Source organism: Homo sapiens, chromosome 1 (genome assembly GCF_000001405.40).
Source record: "Homo sapiens chromosome 1, GRCh38.p14 Primary Assembly".
Taxonomy (NCBI): domain Eukaryota; kingdom Metazoa; phylum Chordata; class Mammalia; order Primates; family Hominidae; genus Homo; species Homo sapiens.
The window spans coordinates 241121868-241141545 of record NC_000001.11 but is presented as its reverse complement, the minus strand read 5'-3'; the positions used below and the strand labels follow the sequence as shown (position 1 = coordinate 241141545).

Here is a 19678-nt window from a genome sequence, read left to right as displayed (position 1 = left end):
CCTTCTTCTCCTTTGTCTTCCACCATGACTGTAAGTTTCCTGAGGCCTCCCAAGCAATGCAGAACCATGAATCAATTAAACCTCTTTCCTTTATAAGTTACCCAGTCTCAGGGTTTCTTCATAGCAGTGTGAGAATGGATTAATACAGTGAATCTGTAGTGGCCCAGGGATCTGCATTTGAGTGTGGCATTTGTGACAGTTACAGCACGTGGGGATTCCCAGCTCCTTGTCCCTGGCTTGGCTAGGCAGATTTGAACTGCCTCATGGCTGTTTTCTCCTGGGCTGGCCCTCTTAGGAAGCTTCAGATGAGTCTTTATTCCTTTCTTCCCCTCACTCCTCATCTCATTCTCCCAATCAGTAGAGAATTTAGACGGTTAGCAATTCATAACTCCAATCTGAGTAAAGAACATCTACTAAAAAACGCCTGTATGGACAGGTTCTTAGAGTAATTGCACTCCTCTGGGTTAGGGAGAGCTGCTCAGATGACTTTAGGGAAACTGGAAAAAACTTTTACATTTTTATGCTGTTTGGGGTGAAGGTGGTGGGAATTGTCTCCTACTGCAAGTGAGTACAAAGCAAGGTAGAGGGTGACAAGTCCTTGTGAAAAGCCCAAAGTGCTACAAGATCAGAGGTGAACAGGCACTAGTGGGTAATGTTGTGTCAAATATGTCTGAAGAAACTACTTTAAGTTAATCATTAGCACTAACCATTTGTTTTATGCATAAAAGTGCTGGTCTTAGGTTTCACAAAGGAGTTTTGCTTATCTCCTGTATCAGAGTCCCAGCAAAAAGGAGAAGACACACTTGAAAAATGAGAGTTAAAGATGCTCTGTCCAGATTGGGCATAGTGGCTCATACCTGTATTCTCAGCATTTTGAGAGGCCAAGGCAGGAGGATTGCTTGAGCCCAAGAGTTCAAGACCAGCCTAGGTCACATAGGAAGTAGGAAGACCCTGTCTCCACAAAAAATTTAAAAATTAGCCAAGCATGGTGGCACTTGCCCGTAGTCCTAGCTACTCAGCAGGCCAAGGCGGAAGCATCACTTGAGTCCAGGAGTTCGAGATCAGCCTGGGCAACAAAGTGAGATGCTATCTCTATTCTATTTAAATAAATAAATAGTTAAAAAGAAGCTCTCTCCAGAAGGGTTGACAAGGTTAAGGGACCCATCAGTGGGTGGAGAAGAATAAGGGACCAGTCACCCAAAACAGCCCTTACCATCTCTAACCCTGAAGGTATGAGAGGAGGGAGCTCCTGGTAGGAGCTTTCAAGTGTATTCAGCCCCTGGAAAGGGTCTGCTTGGCCAGAATTAAAAACTAGGCAGGGAAAGGCAGTGGCTACTTCCAAACTGCAGCCCACAGTGAGGGAGCAGAGGAAAAATGCTCTTCAATGTTGCTCTCTACCTGCCTGTGTCTCCATCCGAAGCCAGACACAAGGGATCCTGGTACAAAGTCAGCCTCCAGAGCACAGATGAGGGGAGACAAGAGAGAAGAGCAGGTCTGGAGGGCCATCAGGAACATCCAGCAGGCTCTTCCTCTGCAGGGCTGTTCACATAAAGGGGTAGCACACAGAAACAGGACAATTATTGGGTGCCATTCTCTAAAAGAATCCATGCAGGCTGACACCTAGGTGATGGTTATAAACACCAAGACAATACTCTTAAGATCAGAAGAGTTTTTTTCTAAGTTGGGGATTTATAGTGACAAGAAAAGATCAGTTGCGAATAGTCAAATGAATGTATTTTGAAATGAATGCTTTATTAGAAAGCATGGCATAAATGCATGAAAAGACGATGAACATCAGTCGTTGTTAGGGAAATGCAAATCAAAACAGTGAGATACCACTAAACACTCAGAACAATGGTTATAATAAAAAAGACAGACAACAAGGAATGTTGGCCAGGATGTGAATAAGACCCCCTCACACTTGCTGATGGGAATATAAGGTGGTGCAGCCATTTTGGAGAATGGTTTGGCAGTTTCTTAAAAATGTCAACCTAAGTTGACCATTTGATCCAATGATTCCACTTTCAAATATCCACTATTTACCCAAAGGAAATAAAAACATATTTCTATCCAAAGAATAGCACATTAATGTTGGCTGAAGCATGATTCACAGTTATTTCTAAAGTGGAAACAACCCTAACTTGTGTCACAACTGGTAAATGGATAAACAAAATGTAGTACATTAGTACAATGGAATGCTATCTGGGAAAGAAATAGAGGAAGAATAGAAGGAAGGAAGGAAGGAAGGAAAGAAGGAAGGAAAGATGGGGAGGAAAGGAGAGTGGGAGGAAGAAAAGAAGGAAAGAGAAGGGAGGGAGAGAGGAAGGAAGGGAGGAAGAAAGGAAGGAAAGAGAGAAGAAGGGAGGGAGAGAGGAAGGAAGGGAGGAAGATGGGTGTGAATGAGGAAGGGAACAATCTACTGACGCATGCTACAACATAGATGAACCTAAAAAAAAAATCTGCCAAGTAAAAGAAACCAGACACATATTGTGTGGTTCCATTTATATGAAATGTTCAGAAAAGGCCAATCTGTAGTGACAGAATTTTGAGACATTTTAAATTTTTTATAATGTCTCCCTTCTCGTTGGTCCTGGAATTGAGTGTTACTGATTGTTTTGTATCATGTATTACAGAAAAAAGCCTGGAGTTTGTGATTTGCTTAATGCCTGGTGCGTTTGTTTAGCTTTAATCTGGATTATGGGGATTTGTTATATTTTTTAAAAAAAGCATATATTATGAGGAAAACCATGGAAAGCTGTTAACAAAAATGAAGATAGCAAAAAATGGAAATAGCCCTCAAAGCTTTTAAAGAAATATTTTTGAAGAGAACTTCTAATCATAAATGGAAAGGGTCGAGATGAGGATTAAACAGAGGATATAGACAATAAGCAAGACAGGTGAAATAGAGGAGGCACCGGCTACGCAATCACCTTAATTCTCAAACTCTTAAGTATCCATGGCTCTGCTACAGCTGGACCAAGACAACAGATGTGGTACTTCCAGTAACCAAGTTCCACAGAAGCCAGGCGTGTGTGCAGTGGACTCCCCCTGAGGGCTGCATGCTGTGTGGCATTCGTGTTGCCCTCTTTACTCTCCCCTATACACATGTGAGGTGCTTGGCTCCATGTGTTCAGCTGTGTTCAGCTGGTTCCTGATCCTGAAGATATTCCTCTCCTCTCTTTCCTGCATCCTTTCCAACTCCTCACTGAAGATCCCCCCACAATTTTGGTTGACTGTGACATCTCCCATTTCTGATACCTGTATCACTTACCTGTGTTATAACTTTTGGTTCTTGATTATATTAAATTTAGGGCTTGATTATGGTTTAGTTTGTTATTCCCTAATTTCCTCTTTTTTTTTTTTTTTTTGTTTTTGAGATGGAGTCTTGCTCTGTTACCCAGGCTGGAGTGCAGTGGCATGATCTCAACTTACCGCAACCTCCACCTCCCGGGTTCAAGTGATTCTCCTGTCTCAGCCTCCCAAGTAGGCTGGGATTACAGGCACCTGCCACCACACCCGGCTAATTTTTGTATTTTTTGTAGAGATGGGGTTTCACCATGTTGGCCAGGCTAACCTTGAACTCCCGACCTCAGGTGATCTGCCCGCCTCAGCCTTCCAAAGTGCTGGGATTACAGGCGTGAGCCACGGTGCCCGGCCATTATTCCCTAATTTCTTTGTGTTTATTCATATGATCTTTTCACATGAAGGCCTTCAAGTTCCTTTTGGGTAGCATGTAAGCACACACCTTTGTAACTCATTAGAAGCAGTGATATGATTTGTAGTATTTGCCAGTTGCTTTGGTATAGATACTCCTGCCATTGCCAATTTCAAGCTATCCATTGTTTAACAGCTTCTCACATAATTCCTGAAAATTTAAGGATCAGCTCCTTTGAGCAGGTGTGTGCCAGCTCCAGCACATACTGCATCCTGAATTGAGCCTAATGTGACTGGCATCCAGCAGCCTGCTAGGACAGCCTGAGTTGGCCTGTGATGGAAGTTGTGGCAGTTGAACATTCAGGATCTGATAATGAATATAAAATTTGGGGGCTCAAAGTCATAAAACACCACAAGTAAGCGCTTACATATTTATATTCCCTAAAACAACAATAAAAGGAACACAATGAATAAAGATATCAATAACATTCTACATATCTTAAATCATTAATAATAGGTTCAGTGTTGTTAATTTGGTTATAATTCATAATTATAATTCATTAAAGTTTTTTAATGTAGACTTTGTGTCACTTTCTGATTGTAGCCTTAGAAATGCAAAGACCTGGGAAACATAAATTTCCCTCAAGGAGCTCACAGCAGGAGAGAAAGAAAAGGAAAAAAAAATGCCAATAAAATACGGTCTTTGATAGTACAACATTGAACAACATAGATCCCAGAGTTGAGGGGAGAGAGGAAGGAGTAGGAATGAATAAGGATAAACTTCCTGATGATATGATGCCTAAACAGAGCCCTCAGGGACCATACATCCCTTAGAAATGTCTTCCTCAGCTAAGGTGGCCACAGCAGCTGAATGTAATGCACATTGTTTAAGAATTAGCTTTATAATAGAATTTTGCGTTTGCTTCAGTAGGCATCATCCAATGATGATGCAAGCCACCAACAGATTAACAGAAAGCTCATCTTCATGGCTTCTTTGGTGCCCTTCTAGCTCTAACATATGAAAATTACACATTTTTTAATGCAAAGGAAGGGGAACATAGCCTGGACGCCAAAGCATTGTGAACACTAAGCAAGAATAATATGATGCTCATTTGTAATTTTTTTTACATGTGAAATCACAAATGCACTTGAGCTGAACTAAGGCAGTGTCCAAAAGAACTGAAAATGAAATCAAGGTAGGAACAAAACACGTAATCTTCTTTGTTCTCTGCAAAAGAGAAGATAGCCATCTTCAGGTTTCCAGATGGTTTTGTTCTGCCATCACCCGGCCTTTCGTGGGTGGTGCCTAGGAGCTTTGTGACTATAGCTCAAGATCGGTGCGCAGTGCCACGTGGCCCCTCACTGTGGGACTGTGCTGTGGCCACACAAGGCAGGAGAGTGCTCCAGAGTGACACTCCCCTCTACCCCATGAACATCCCCCCCCTTATCTCCAAAACACTAGGGCAGGTTTTCACAAGGTGCCATCCAATGAAAGTCTCCACTGTGATTCCTTGTGGAAAGGGTGAAGACCAATGTTCAAAGATGAGGATTCCTGGACCCCACCTTAGAAAAAGACTCAGTCAGAATCTCTGGGAGCTGGGCCTTGAAATCAGTATTTTTATCAAGCTCCTGAAGTAATGAGGAGCTTAGCACAGTGTCTGACACTGCAGACTGTCTATACATGTTTTTTAATTGAACAAAACTTATCTTTCCTCCACCATCTACCCTCACCCACTTGAAAGAGCTTCACCTACCGGCTAGTGAAGGAGGGATGTGGTGGACGATAGATCTGATTTGATACATTTTATTTCCTCTTAAAAAGACTCATATATTGTTTGTAACACTGTCTTTTATTGTCCACAGTCAACAAATTTTCTCATTTTTCAAATATGTCTTTCTTAGAATAACAAACTAGTTTTTTTTTTTTTTTTGTCATTATCATGTAACCACCCAAGGGATTCGTCCTGTCACTGCATAAAGAAAGGCTACTGGTCAGGTGGCTGAGGCAGGACAATTGCTTGAACCCGGGAGGCGGAGGTTGTGGTGAGCTGAGATCCCGCCATTGCACTCTAGCCTGGGCAACTCTGTCTCAAAAAAAAATAATAAAAAAAGGCCACTGACATTGTAGTAGAGAGTTTAATAGACACGAGGCCGGCCACACCACGTGGGAGAAGGAGTTCCCACTCAGATCATCTTGTTCAAAGCTCTTTGGTTAGGGGTTTTTCAAGGGCAGGTTTTTTTCCACAAGAGCCTGCCAAACCTGGGAGCCCCAGAGTTTAGTATCCTTTCTCCCTAGGTAAACCCAGTGCCATTATTCCCTCAAAAAAGAGTTGCAAAAAGATAGGGGAGGCATCCCGGAAGTGGTGAGTGTAAGGTTCTCAGCTCGAACCCAAGAGCACGCCAACAGACAACACGAGGCCGTGTGGAGCAACATGCTGCTTTTTTTGTTTTTTGTTGTTGTTGTTCAGACGGAGTCTCGCTCTGTCGCCCAGGCTGGAGTGCAGGGGCGCGATCTCGGCTCACTGCAAGCTCCGCCTCCCGGGTTCACGCCATTCTCCTGCCTCAGCCTCCCGAGTAGCTGGGACTACAGGTGCCCGCCACTACATCCGGCTAATTATTTTATATTTTTAGTAGAGACAGGGTTTCACCGTGTTAGCCAGGATGGTCTCCATCTCCTGACCTCGTGATCTGCCCGTCTTGGCTTCCCAAAGTGCTGGGATTACAGGCATGAGCCACCGCGCCCGGCCGCAACATGCTGTTTTAATGAGCGCCTGGGCACAGGCGGTCTGATGCCTAAAATGGCGTCAGCCCCAAATGAGGACAGGACAGGGGTTTTATAGTCCTCTGTAAACAGGAAATGTCCCAGACTGACCTGACTGCTACGTAGTACCCGGACGGCCTCCTTCTCCATCTTCAGAGGTAGGTGTCTTCCGGCCAGGGTAGGTGTCTTCCGGCCGGGGTAGGTGTCTTCCGGCCGGCTGTCGTCCTGCTTCCGCTGTCTTGCTGACCCACGCTGCTGATTACTGTAAGTGGCCTTGCGCCTTGGGACTGGGCCTGAAAGGGGAGGAGTTTCTCATCTCTTCAAGCTTTCAGGCCCCGGGGACAATCTTTCAGTGAGGAACTAGTAAAACTCCTTTTCCTTTCCAGTTATGGTAAATCTTTCCCTCTTCTCAGCACTCTGCTTCAACTCTCTCCCATTCATTTCCCGCAAGCCCCTCCCCTCTCTGGGAAAAAGTAGGGCACTTTCCCTCGTGGGCCTTTTATAAACAACAAGAGTGACTTCCGCTTCTATGGCGTAGGTGTGGGGATAGTCATCTAATATCCATTCTATTCTCAGATTTCTCCAGATTTCCTTCTAATTCAGTATTCAGTCCAGATTCACGCATTACATTTGGTTGTTACCTCTCTTACATCTTTGTAGTATACAATAATAATTGCATTTTATATACATATGTAGGTGTTCAAACACCACACACACACAAACACAATTTACTTTTGGAAGAGTTCAGGCTAATAGTCTAGTAGAAGTCCCACGGCATTCTGTCAGTCTGGATTTGTCATATGGTTTCCCCGTAGTGTCATTTAACTTGGTTTCTTGGTTTCCATATAATTTGGAAGATAGGTCTGGAGCAGCACTGCCCGACAGATCTTGCTGTGAGGATGGCTGTTCTTCGTTGGTGCTACCCAATACAGTAGCCACCAGCCATATGTGAGAGGGCTAGGATGATAGAGGAAAAGAAATTCTAACTTGTTTAACTTAAATTATTCTAAATTTAAATCTAAACAGTCACATGTGGCTAATGGCTACCATATTGGGCAGTGCAGGATGGGATGCTTTATTAGATCCAGGATAGACATTTTGGCAAGGATAGATGATGTCGTGGACTTACTGCTTTCCTTTGCTGGAGGGCATCTCATTCATTCTCTGTCTCCCTTTCTCTCTCTCTTTCTCTCCCTCTGCCTCTCTCTCTCCCTGTTTCTTATTGTGAACTCATGAATGCTTTTTGAAGCTAGTTTTTGAATTCTTTCACATAGTTTGATTTAAATTAGTGTTTGGCACAACAAATTGTCACCAGTTCACCTTGACCAAACCTAAACTTGGTATTAACTGGTTTGTTTTTTGTTTGTTTGTTGTTTCTGTAAGGAATGGTATTTAGAAACCAGGATCAGGGAACTAAATTTGCTTGTTGCTACTGTGTCAATGTTTCTAAACCCTTTCAGTAGAAACCCTAAGGGAAATTACGTTTATAATCTTTGGTTCACACTATATTTTTCAATTCAAATTTAGTATTACAGAAAAATTAAGTGGGAGAAAATTAATATTATGAGTGTTCTTTTTCTTGGTTTCTTTTTTTTTATATTTGTATCTCCTTTCCCTTAGAAAAAAAATTATGGTGGCTAATATTATCAACCTATCTCTTTAGTTTTCTACAATATTGTCTCAAAATTAGAATATCACTACTAACAAACCCATTAATAAATTTAAGGTATGCTTTCAGACCTTTTCTTTTTTTTTTGCCCTTAGACTTATACATCCCATTAAAATGGGTCAAAGAACTATTTTCAAAAATTATTTGAAATAATTATTTTTTTCTCTGTGGTTTATCAAATTGATATATAGTCGATTTCATTTATTGCTGTTTATATTCAATTTTATGTAAAAATGGTTTTTCTCTTATTTCTTATGATTACATTTTCTATTCTTTATAAATGTAAATAAAAAGCATTTCACTTGTATTGTAATTTTTACAATGTACTACAATACAATTATATCACAATTTTTCACAACTTTTTCTGTAGAAAATGTATTCTAGTATTAATAAGTTGAATTGCCGGGCGCAGTGGCTCAGGCCCGTAATCCCAGCACTTTGGGAGGCTGAGGCAGGCGGATTACGAGGTCAGGAGATCGAGACCATCCTGGCTAACACGGTGAAACCCCATCTCTACTAAAAATACAAAAAATTAGCCGGGCTTGGTGGTGGGCACCTGTAATCCCAGCTACTTGGGAGGCTGAGGCAGGAGAATGGCGTGAACCCAGGAGGCAGAGCTTGCAGTGAGCCGAGATTGTGCCACTGCACTCCAGCCTGGGCGACAGAGCTAGACTCCGTCTAAAACAAACAAACAAACAAACAAACAAACAAACAAACAAATAATAAGTTGAATTATTGACAGACCTTAACAGTAAAACCCATTTTTTAACTTTGAGATTGCATGTATTCTGTGAAATTTGAGGCTAATGTACCTCCCCCACCAAAAAAAATGGAAGTACCTCTTCTCCAAAATATGTGTCATGGGCTTTCATGCTGTCCTGTGCACTTGTGACAACTGTATTGATTATTTCGTTGTGGGGTTTGTTTTTTTCCTTTAATTTAAACAAACATTGATGGAAGCATTCCTCTTTGCCAAGTATTTTAGTTCTTGTTAATTACTGATATAGCCTGTAAACTGCATGGGGACAGGGGTCCTGTCTGTCACATCCATCCTGTCATCCCCACTCATAGTACCTCTGGCCCAGCATAGGTGCTCCATAAATGAATATTGAATCATGGATACATGATTAAACAATTCTCTGGGCTCCACTCTCCATGTGGAAATGGGAGAATCATTCAATCAAATCCATGTTACATTCTAACAAAATTCTGATGCATGGCCACCTGGAAAAAAATTGGGCCTCCCTGCACAGTTCTTTTACATTTTAATGATCTCTGTGTATGCCACTTAAACACAAAATAGCCCTCAGGTTTTCAAAGAGGATTAAATTGTGTTTATGGGAGCCTCTCATTAAGGAAAAAGTGATCAGAATACTTGGCTCTTGGAGCCTGGCGGTCCTTTGCGAGACATACCACATGAATAGACTACCACTCTTTCTATTAAGGACAATCCATCACATTTTCCAGTTGGGATGGATGATAATGCCACATTTAGTTTTCTGTATTTTTAAGCATCATCTCTTCTTAACGGGATGTGTAATGTGATTCAAACTGATGTGATGAGGCAGACCATTAACGAAATGTCTTTCAGTCTTTGCTTGATTAATAAATATTTCCTCTGCATTTTATTATGGGCAGCTTGCAGAGGGAGCCAAAGTTTATTGCTTTTTTGTTTTTAATCAGTGAAGTAACATCAGCTATTATGCATAATCAGTTCCAGCTTGTACATTTGTAATGTTTTGATTTAGAATAGTAAAAAGGAAAGAGGACAGTGAAGGCTGCCACGTTATGAGAGAAAATTCTGGTAAATGCATGACAGTTCAGGTGTCTCTCATTTTTGCTTTTTAAATGCTTTTCTACTTTGCCCCCAGCTCCCAGACATATATCTAAAAAGAATATCTTTCTTACACCTACCAATTTTTACCAGTCTTCTACAAACAGTAGTTCTCAAAGTGTGGTTCCCAACCAGCAACATCAGCCAGTGTAGCCTGAGAAATTGTTAAAAATGCAAATTTTCAGGCCCTACATAGTCCCACTGACTTGGCAACTCTGGAAGTTGGGTCCAGCTGTCTGTTTTTACTGGTCCTGTTGGTGATTCTGATGCAAACTCAAGTTGGAAAACTATTGTTCTAGAAAGAGTGAAATAACATCCTCATCTTAATGATTAGATTCAAGTAAATGAGTAGACATTCAAATTCCCTTACATTTCTAAATTGTCATTTGGCTTTTTTTTCCTATGTGCTATGGGTGTTTAGTTTAATTTGAGAATCAATATGACTCATGCATGACACTGGAAAGGTATTTTTATTTTCAAGGTACAGAGAGTAAAGTCTAATGGAGAAAAACACATTTTACTCATTAAAAAAAAATGAATCATGTCATCGGCATAAAGACGTCATTCTTCAAACTGGCGTTAAATAAATCTCTGTAACAAAGTTAATGTGGCTTTCTAAATTGCTGCCATCATCATGATGTTACAGCCAGTTCTTCCAGAGTAGAATTATCTGGCCTCTTGGTTTTTTTTTTTTTTTTTTGTAATTAAGCCTTTTATCCTATTATTTTGCATTTAACTGTTATTAACACATATCATCAAAGATGGATAGGACAGAGAAAGGAGATGTCACCTTTGGATTATATCTGAAAGGGATGTTATAAAAATAAAAAAGAAACCAAACACCAAATCCAATCCTTAGAGGTTCAGATAAGAAAGCAATGCTCAGGGAAGTTAAATGACCTGTAAAATTCAGATATTTTGTGTTTTAGTTCAGTATGTTTTCCACTGTTTGTTATTAGTAATTCTTGTCCCTACTTAGAAAAAGATTTTAGAGTTATCAACTCAGAAATACCTTTTTTTTGGCATGAAGTCATGAGTGAATTTGACCTTAGCATTTTTCTTACTGTCCCTCTTCTCACTAACAGACATGGACAATTGAAAGCTACCTAAAGGATTTGTAGCAGTATTTACTTCCTCAAATGTTGCCAAGCAGAATAGCAAATTCATTCCAGGACATTTTTTAATGTGTCAAAATCATCCTAGTTCTTAAAAGTATCGGAAATGAACAATGGTCCATCATACAGTTAAAAGCATTGGTTCAGAGCCTAGTGTTTTTTTTTTTTAATTTATGTTAATCACTTAAAATAGGTAATTGACTCTCAAATTAATCCCTGGAAAATTAAAGGAACATCTGGTGAAGTATATTATTTTTGGGCTTTTTATCTAAAAGTGGTTACCAAGTGGGTTCTTGCTGGGCTAGAAAAATTCTAACCTCCACTTCCATTTTTTTCTCCTTTTTAAAGTTAGCCAAACAATTTTCATGCCACATAGAAGTTTAATAGCTCCAACTACAATGACACATTGGCAATCTGAAGGATGCACTTGCTTAGCAGTGACAGAAACTTTCTCACTATATCCTTGCCCTAGTAATGGCTTCAGAGAGGTGGAGCATAGTGATGGTAGAATATCAAAATTTGCAATTCTAAAATACTCAGAAGACACTCAGTTACATCTTTAATTTGAAGTAATAGGAATTCTTGAAAAGCAATTTTAAAATAATATTAGATCTCAGATGCACTTTGGTTGATTACCTGAGCCACCTCCCCCACCCCTTTGCTAAGATGCTCCCACGTGCTTTAGGGCAGTGCAGGGGGTTTGTAGAAGGACCAGCAGCATCAGTAACACCTGGAAGTTTTTTGGAAATACAGACTCGTGGGCCCCACCCTATACCTACTGATTTCTGGGCTCCACCCAGAAATCTCGTTTAATAAACTCTCCAAGTAACTGTGGTGCTCACTCAAGTTTGAGAACTGCTGCTCTTTAGGGGGTTGATTATGTCTGTTTTATTCTCTCTGCCGGTGATTATTGGCTTATAAAATATACTTAATGCAATTCTAGCTGTTGTGACCTAAAGAGATTTCTTCTGTGAGGGTGCTGGCGATGCTTTTTTGCTAGTTAGAGGAAGGAAAAGTAAGAGGTTGACGCTATTTTTGCCTTTGGGCACAGGCATGTAAAAATGTGATAATGTCGTGGCTGGGAAGGTCCCATGCTGATGAATGTAGAGTCAGAATACGGAAAGAATCTGACTTAACCAAATCTGAAATCATCCTGCCTCGGGACTTTACTTCATTTTGTGAAATTTAAAAACAAACAAAAAACCTTTTACTGCTTGAAGTGTTTTGAGTTCCGTTTTTTTTTTGTTTGTTTGTTTGTTTCTAGTAGCCAATATCCCCTCAGTGGTACACTTAAACACGCAAGGTCATTTATGGCATTTTGCAAGAAAATCTTATGGTGAATTTCAGTGTTACTTATAGCATGGAGGCTGAGGGTAAGAAGCTCACCTGTTTTTATATCACTTCTGTTTTAAAAACTTTTTCAAAATGTTAGAGGAGTATAATTTGGAGAAATTATCTAAAGTTATGTTTAATTACGTCTCTCCTCCATGCTAATTGTGTATAAATAGTAGTTGTCCTTCCGTTAACATTTTGAAGAAGGGATATCAATATAATAATCAATTTAGTTGTTCAACTGGTATTTAATTTGCTTTCTTTCTAGCCCCAAGGGAGCATATCATTACGGGGTAGGGAAATGTAAATTAATCCAAAGCTAAAATATCTTAAGAGTTATCACCCCTTTGTATGAAATTCCCTACTTATTCCTCTGAAGAGTTTTTTTTTTTTTTTTTTTTTTGCCTATTATTCTGCATGTCCAAATAGCATTTAAATACTCAATTTCTGGGAAGTTGCTTTATAAAATAATTTTGAAATATTTTATAGAGATGTAAATTATTTGTATATATTTACATATATACATATACTGTGTAATTTATATTTTTGACATTATAAAATATTTTCTGAACTTTTTAAATTTATTTATTTATTTTGAGACGGAGTCTCGTTCTTTTACCCAGGCTGGAGTGCAGTGGCACAATCTCGGCTCACTGTAACCTCCGCCCCGGGTTCAAGCGTTTCTCGAGCCTCAGCCTCCCTGGTAGCTAGGACTACATGCTTGCACCGCCACCATGCCAGGTAAATTTTTGTATTTTTAGTAGAGACAGGGTTTTACCATGTTGGCCAGGCTGGTCGCAAACTCCTGATGTCAAGTGATCTGCCTGCCTTGGCCTCCCAAAGTGCTGGGATTACAAGCGTGAGCCACCGCACCTGGCCATTTTTTGAACTTTTTTTTTTTTTTGAGACGGAGTCTTGCTCTGTGGCCCAGGCTGGAGTGCAGTGGCGCAATCTCGGCTCACTGCAACCTCCACTTTCCCGGTTCACGTCATTCTCCTGCCTCAGCCTCCCTAGTAGCTGGGACTAAAGGCGCCCGCCACACGCCCGGCTAATTTTTTGTATTTTTAATGGAGACGGGGTTTCACCATGTTAGTCAGGATGGTCTCGGTCTCCTGACCTCGTGATCCACCCACCTCAGCCTCCCAAAGTGCTGGAATTACAGGCGTGAGCCACCACACCCGACCCATTTTCTGAACTTTTTAGATAACATACTGCTCTATATTTCCTCTTCAAATCTATGCAACTGTACTTTTTTTTCAAGTATACTTTTAAAAGCTCAGTGTTATTATTTTTGGTTGAAATTTATCATCCTCTTATCTTTCTGAAATATACTAAATCATTTGAAGAGAATAATCTCCAAAACTATGTTTTTACATCAAATACATACATCTATATACTAATATTTGTAGTCAACACTATTTAAACTTTTACTTCTATTAATTTCAATTGATAAAATGGAAAGTTATTCTTTTTTTAAATTTTATTATTATTATACTTTAAGTTTTAGGGTACATGTGCACAACGTGCAGGTTTGTTACATATGTATACATGTGCCATGTTGGTGTGCTGCACCCATTAACTCGTCATTTAGCATTAGGTATATCTCCTAACGCTATCCCTCCCCGCTCCCCCCACGCCACAACAGTCCCCGGTGTGTGATGTTCCCCTTCCTGTGTCCATGTGTTCTCATTGTTCGATTCCCACCTATGAGTGAGAACATGCGGTGTTTGGTTTTTTGTCCTTGCGATAGTTTGCTGAGAATGATGGCTGTCGAGTAGGGATTATTGACGGATTTAGTAATTTATTCTTAGCTTCATAGAATTGTGCTTTCTGTATGACTTCAATCCTTAAAATGTGTTGAGACGTGCTTTATCACTAATATATGGTTACTTTTTATATTGTTGTATGTGAGCTTAAAAAATATGTATTCTGAACAAATTGCCCAAACATTTCAAGGATTTTTTATTTGTCAGAATAACTCCTATTTCTACTTCAAGACTCAGTTACCTCCTCAGGTAAGGCTTTCCTGATAGTATCAAGCAGAATTAGATGTTGCTTCTTCTGGATTCTCTCTATGATATTACCTTGACATTGAGTTGAAATTTAAATGTTTATGTGCATATTCTCCTTAGACCATAAGATGCTAAGGCCAAATTTATCTTCTAAATTACCTTTACTACTGTACCTAATCTAATACCGTACCTTTCACATAGTGGGCACTTGGAAAGTGTTTCTGGAATGAAGGAAGGAAGGAAAGAAAGAAGTGAACAATAGTATGGTGATATATTAGGTTTAATTATATGCCTAGGACTCTACAAGGTTGGTTTCTATAGTTAGGCAATGCTGTCACCTAGACCAAAAAAAAAAAAAATCAACTTAAGGTTGCTAAATAAAGAATGCACAATTCGAAAAGGAGAAATAATTATAGCTAACATTTATGTAGCATTTCTCTGTACCGGGCACTTTCCTAACCTCTCTAGTGGGTGTATGGGGGGCTGGAGGTAGGAGGGGTAAACTCATTTGATCCTCATAATAACTCCGTGAGAAGGATATTGTTGTATTTAGCACATCTGTTTTTCAGATGCTGAAGCTGAGGCAACAAAATGCTGAGTAACTTTCCCAAGGTCAGTAACTAGAGAGTAGCAGAGCTGCGCATTTGACCCAAGCAGGCTTGATCTAGAGCCCGTTGCATGAACTCCCATGCCCCATTACAGAGCAAAAAATATAAATGGGGCCAGGCACTGTGGCTTGTACCTGTAATCCCAGCACTTTGGGAGGCCAAGGCGGGCGGATCACCTGAGGTCGGGAGTTCGAGACCAGCCTAACCAACATGGAGAAACCCCATCTCTACTAAAAATACAAAATTAGCCGGGTGTGGTTGCGCATGCCTGTAATCCCAGCTACTCAGGAGGCTGAGGCAGGAGAATTCCTTGAACCCGGGAGGCGGAGGTTGCATTGAGCCGAGATTGCACCACTGCACTCCAGCCTGGCAACAAGAGCGAAACTCTGCCTCAAAATAATAATAATAATAATAAATAAATAAATAAATATAAATGGGAAACCTCAATTATTCCCATTTCAAAGAGCAAAAGCTGCCACATTTGAAAACTCTTTGTAAGGCAACGTTATCTTCTAACTCTAGAACGGGGTCACCAAGACTCCAGGTCGCAGCTTAGCTTCTTCTCTGTGCTCCCTGTGGGCAACCTTGGGAGTCACTTAACTTCCATCTCTCTGGGCTCCATCTGCGCACTGGAGATAAGGGCATTTTTTCCTCTCATTGGGGGAAGCTGCAAGGATTACTGAAATAATGTCTGAAAGCACTTTCAGTTCCTAAGAGGAAATAAGATCGAGGTAGAAAAAAGGATTTAATGTATGCCTGCCCTGATCCTTTATAAATTAGATAGGGAGTATCTCAGCCCCAGGCTGCTTCTGTACAGGGTCACCCTGAAGAGGACCTTACTTAGAGTAATAAATATTTACACACTTATTATTTTCTAAGCACCTACTATGCATCTAAATTAGTTTAGAAAAAGAGAGTGTTTTTTTTGTTTTAGCAACTGGCATGATAATTTTTTTCTAACTAGAGAAGTGCCTTTGTTGGGCAAATTCCTTGCAGAGCATATTTAGGATAGAAGCTGAAAGCTGAGTGGGAGGGATGCTGTTCTGTGGGAGAGCAGAGGAGGAACCCTTGGTTTTCTGTGGATCAAAGGGAGGATGAATTCAGCGTGTGTGTGTGTGTGTGTGTGTGTGTGTCCATGTCTTTGTGCATGTCGGGTATCTAGATGATTGGAGGAAAAAGGGTCAAAGACCTAGAGAAATTGGAATACTGTGCAGTGAGATATAGCCCTCTCATTGTTATCCCCTTAAATATTACATGAATTCTAGGAAACCTCATAAAATGCTTAGAGCGAGTAGCATTGTTATGGAGACTGGTGGAAGAACTGAGTTTGGACTCTGCATGGTGCAGGCCCAGAAAATGACCGCCTGTGTGGATAGAGCTAAGCCATGAAAAGAATGACCACAAATCTCCAGTTGGCTTAAGACTTCTTCACACTGTCCAATGGGAGGGTCAAAGCAATCCTACATATACCATGAGGACACAGAGTCCCCAGCTGACATCTAGATTATAGCTCATGAAGTAAAAGGGCATGACCGTGCAAAACAACCTGCCATCCCAAGTAGTATTTTCTGCCTAATGTCTTGGGAGGGAGCAAATGCTTTAGTCTCCAAGGGAGGCCTCACACTTCTGTATATAACCAAGTTTCTTCAGGCCTCAGCAGTTAGTACAGAGAGAATCCATTGATGAGTAACAAGTTCGCTGGCTTTTGCCTCTGCCTACCTGCAGCGCCTACAGTGTCCTATCACTACTTCCATAGCTCTCCTGGGAGGTCCCGAGATATGTCTCACATGTCCACACAATTGGCTCAGCTCCCAGGGGGCCCTTCCTGTTTCTGCTGGTGACCAAATGGGCCCCGTGCACTGGGCATCTCCTGCCACGATTCAGGTCCCAGCAGACACCACTCTGCAGGAAGCCCAGAATGGTTCTAAAGCATTACTGCTGGCTTCCATCTAATGCCTCCACAGTTTTAATAGAACCGCCTTGTACTAAAGGTAGACGTTTTCCTTTGAATGCCATCCCTAACCCTCTATCCCAGCCTTAAGAGGGAATAGGGCTATCCTCAAAACCACTCTTCCATCTGTTGACCAATGCTTTTATAAAGCTTGATAGAAGAAAACAAAAATGCATTTTCTGGTTCTTGTTTTCTTTCTTTTTTATTTTTTTCAAAGAGACAGGGTCTCTCTCTGTCACCCAGGCTGGAGTGCAGTGGTGCAATGGAGTTCACTGCAGCCTCAACCTCCTGGGCTCAAGCGATCCTCCCACTTTAGCCTCCCAGGTAGCTGGGACTATAGGCGTGCAGCACTATGTCTGGCTAATTTTTTTTTTTTTTCTAGAGACGAGGTCTCACTAATGTTGCCCAGGCTGATCTTGAACTCCTGGTCTCAAGCAGTCCTCCCGCCTCGGCCTCCCAAAGAGCTGGAATTAGAGGCTTGAGCTACCATGCCCATCCTGGTTCTTCTTAAGAGGGATACTCTCTAAGCACATCCCTGGCTTTTCCCCACCCCTTTATTAATGCTTGACCTAAGAAATTGGAGTGATTCATTTCATCAGTAACTTTCAGAAAAATATCTGAGTATGTTTGGTTCATTTTTCTTCCTCTTTTGGTCAAACTTTCGCCAAAGGGAACACATTCTCCTGCTTCTCCAGGGGCAGGCCCTCTTCTAAGGTGAGGGTGGACAGCATGGCGGGGATACCCAGTCCCATGCTACCATGACTAGGACATAGGTCTGCATCATTCTGGGTTGAGCATTATTCTGGGCTTATTTGATACCAAAACCTAAAGCCATGTTCTCTTTTCTTTTCTTTTTTTGAAATGGAGTTTCACTCTCGTTGCTCAGGCTGGAGTGCAATGGTGCAATCTCAGCTCACCACCACCTCCGCCTCCCGGGTTCAAGTGATTCTCCTCCTTCAGCCTCCCGAGTAGCTGTGATTACAGGCATGTGCCACCACAGCTGGCTAATTTTTGTATTTTTAGTAGAGACGGGGTTTCTCCATGTTGGTCAGGCTGGTCTCAAACTCCCGACCTCAGGTGATCCACCCGCCTTGGCATCCCAAAGTGCTGGGATTACAGGCGTGAGCCACCGTGTCCGGCCCATGTTCTCTTTTCTTGCCCCTGAGCCTTTGAGTGATTGTATCTTAGGGAGAATCCACTTGCCAGGATGTGGGTCATAATTAGAATGGTGGGAATAGTGGCATTGTCTCTGCTTCACCCAGCCATAACTGCCTGAACTAAGGCAGTTATTTTATGGACAGAAAGGAGCAGCTGGGTTGGGGAGGCCTTGGTGAGGTAGATAGGCTGATTAAATAATGAATGAGTGATGAAAAAGAGGGAGCTGCTGGTCCAGCCACACTGAAGTCCTCAGAGCCAAGGGTGTTGCTGAGGCTAAGGACCTGGGGTCTGCAGCAGGGCAGGCTCTGGGGCAAGTCATCAAAAAGCCCTGATTGACACCACCCCTGTTGATGTCCTCTAGGGTTCCTGAGCACTTGTGAGAGTAGCTATGTTGAATTCCAGAGGTCTCTGTGATTGCACAAGAGCAGGAAATTTCCCTCATTTATTCATGTGTCTGACAATCACTTATCAAGCACCTATGTTTACAGATGGTCCCCAACTTAATGTGGTTCGACTTAGGATTTTTCAACTATACCGTGGTGTGAAAGAGATACACATTCAGTAGAAACCGTATTTTGACTACCCATATGATCACTGTGTTTTTCACTTTCAGCATAGGAGTCAACAAATCAAGTGGGACATTCAACACTTTATTATAAAATAGGCTTTGTCTTAGATTCTTTTGTCAAACTGTAGGCCAATGTAAGTGCTCTGAGCACAGTTAAGGTAAGACTAGACTAAGCTATGATGTTCGGTAGGTTAGGTGTTTTTTTTTTTTTTTTCTTTTTGTGATGGAGTTTCTCTCTTGCTGGCCAGGCTGGAGTGCAATGGCGCGATCTCAGCTCACTGCAATCTCTGCCTCTCGGGGTTCAAGTGATTCTCCTGCGTCAGCCTCCCAAGTAGCTAGGGTTACAGGCATGCACCACCGTGCCTGGCTAATTTTTTATATTTAGTAGAGATGGGGTTTCACCATGTTAGTCAAGCTGGTCTCAAACCCCTGATCTCAGGTGATCCACCAGCTTGAGCATCCCAAAGTTCTGGGATTACAGGCATCAGACACCATGCCCAGACAGTTAGGTGTATTAAATGCATTTTTACTTACAATATTTTCAACTTATGATGAGTTTATCAGGACATAACCCTGTGGTATCTGTGGTACACACTAGGCATCCAGATTGGGGAGAGTAACGAGAATGCTAAATAGAAGGTATAGGTACTAACTACAGATCACATATTCATTTAATTTTTCACTCTCTACTCCTTCAGCTTGCCAACAGGATGAATGAAGTGCCAAGGGTTGAATTACTTTTGCGTGAACTTACTGAACAATGTCACTGAAGATAGCAGCTGCATTTGCATAACAAAAGCAATGTATAAGTGATTTTTCAAAAAAGTAATAAAGCAGTCTTGGAAAAGAACTTAATAATTACCTTCAGAAAAAGAATTAAGCCTGGGCACAGTGGCTCATGCCTGTAATCCCAGCATTTTGGGAGGCTAAGACGGGAGAAATGCGTAAGCTCGGGAATTTGAAACCAGCCTGCACAGCAAAGACCTCATCTCTACAAAAAATTTAAAAGTTAGCCA

General features: G+C 41.3%; 1 protein-coding gene and 1 non-coding gene across 22 annotated transcripts in view; one reads left to right on the top strand and one right to left on the bottom strand.

Moving 5' to 3' along the window:
* The window catches only part of RGS7 (regulator of G protein signaling 7), a 582489-nt gene that overhangs the window by 215685 nt on the left and 347126 nt on the right, over positions 1 to 19678 (top strand). Inside the window, exon 1 of one of the 21 annotated variants that reach the window (XM_047426980.1) lies at positions 6525 to 6679. The exons of the other annotated variants lie outside the window; for them this stretch is intronic. The gene's annotated coding sequence lies outside the window, so the exon portion shown is untranslated. Of the gene's footprint in view, positions 1 to 6524; positions 6680 to 19678 lie in introns of those variants that run through there. 21 annotated transcript variants of the gene reach the window in all.
* MIR3123 (microRNA 3123) lies at positions 9200 to 9274 on the bottom strand. Its single transcript, NR_036069.1, has one exon. It is a non-coding gene; the product is annotated as a microRNA 3123 (primary transcript).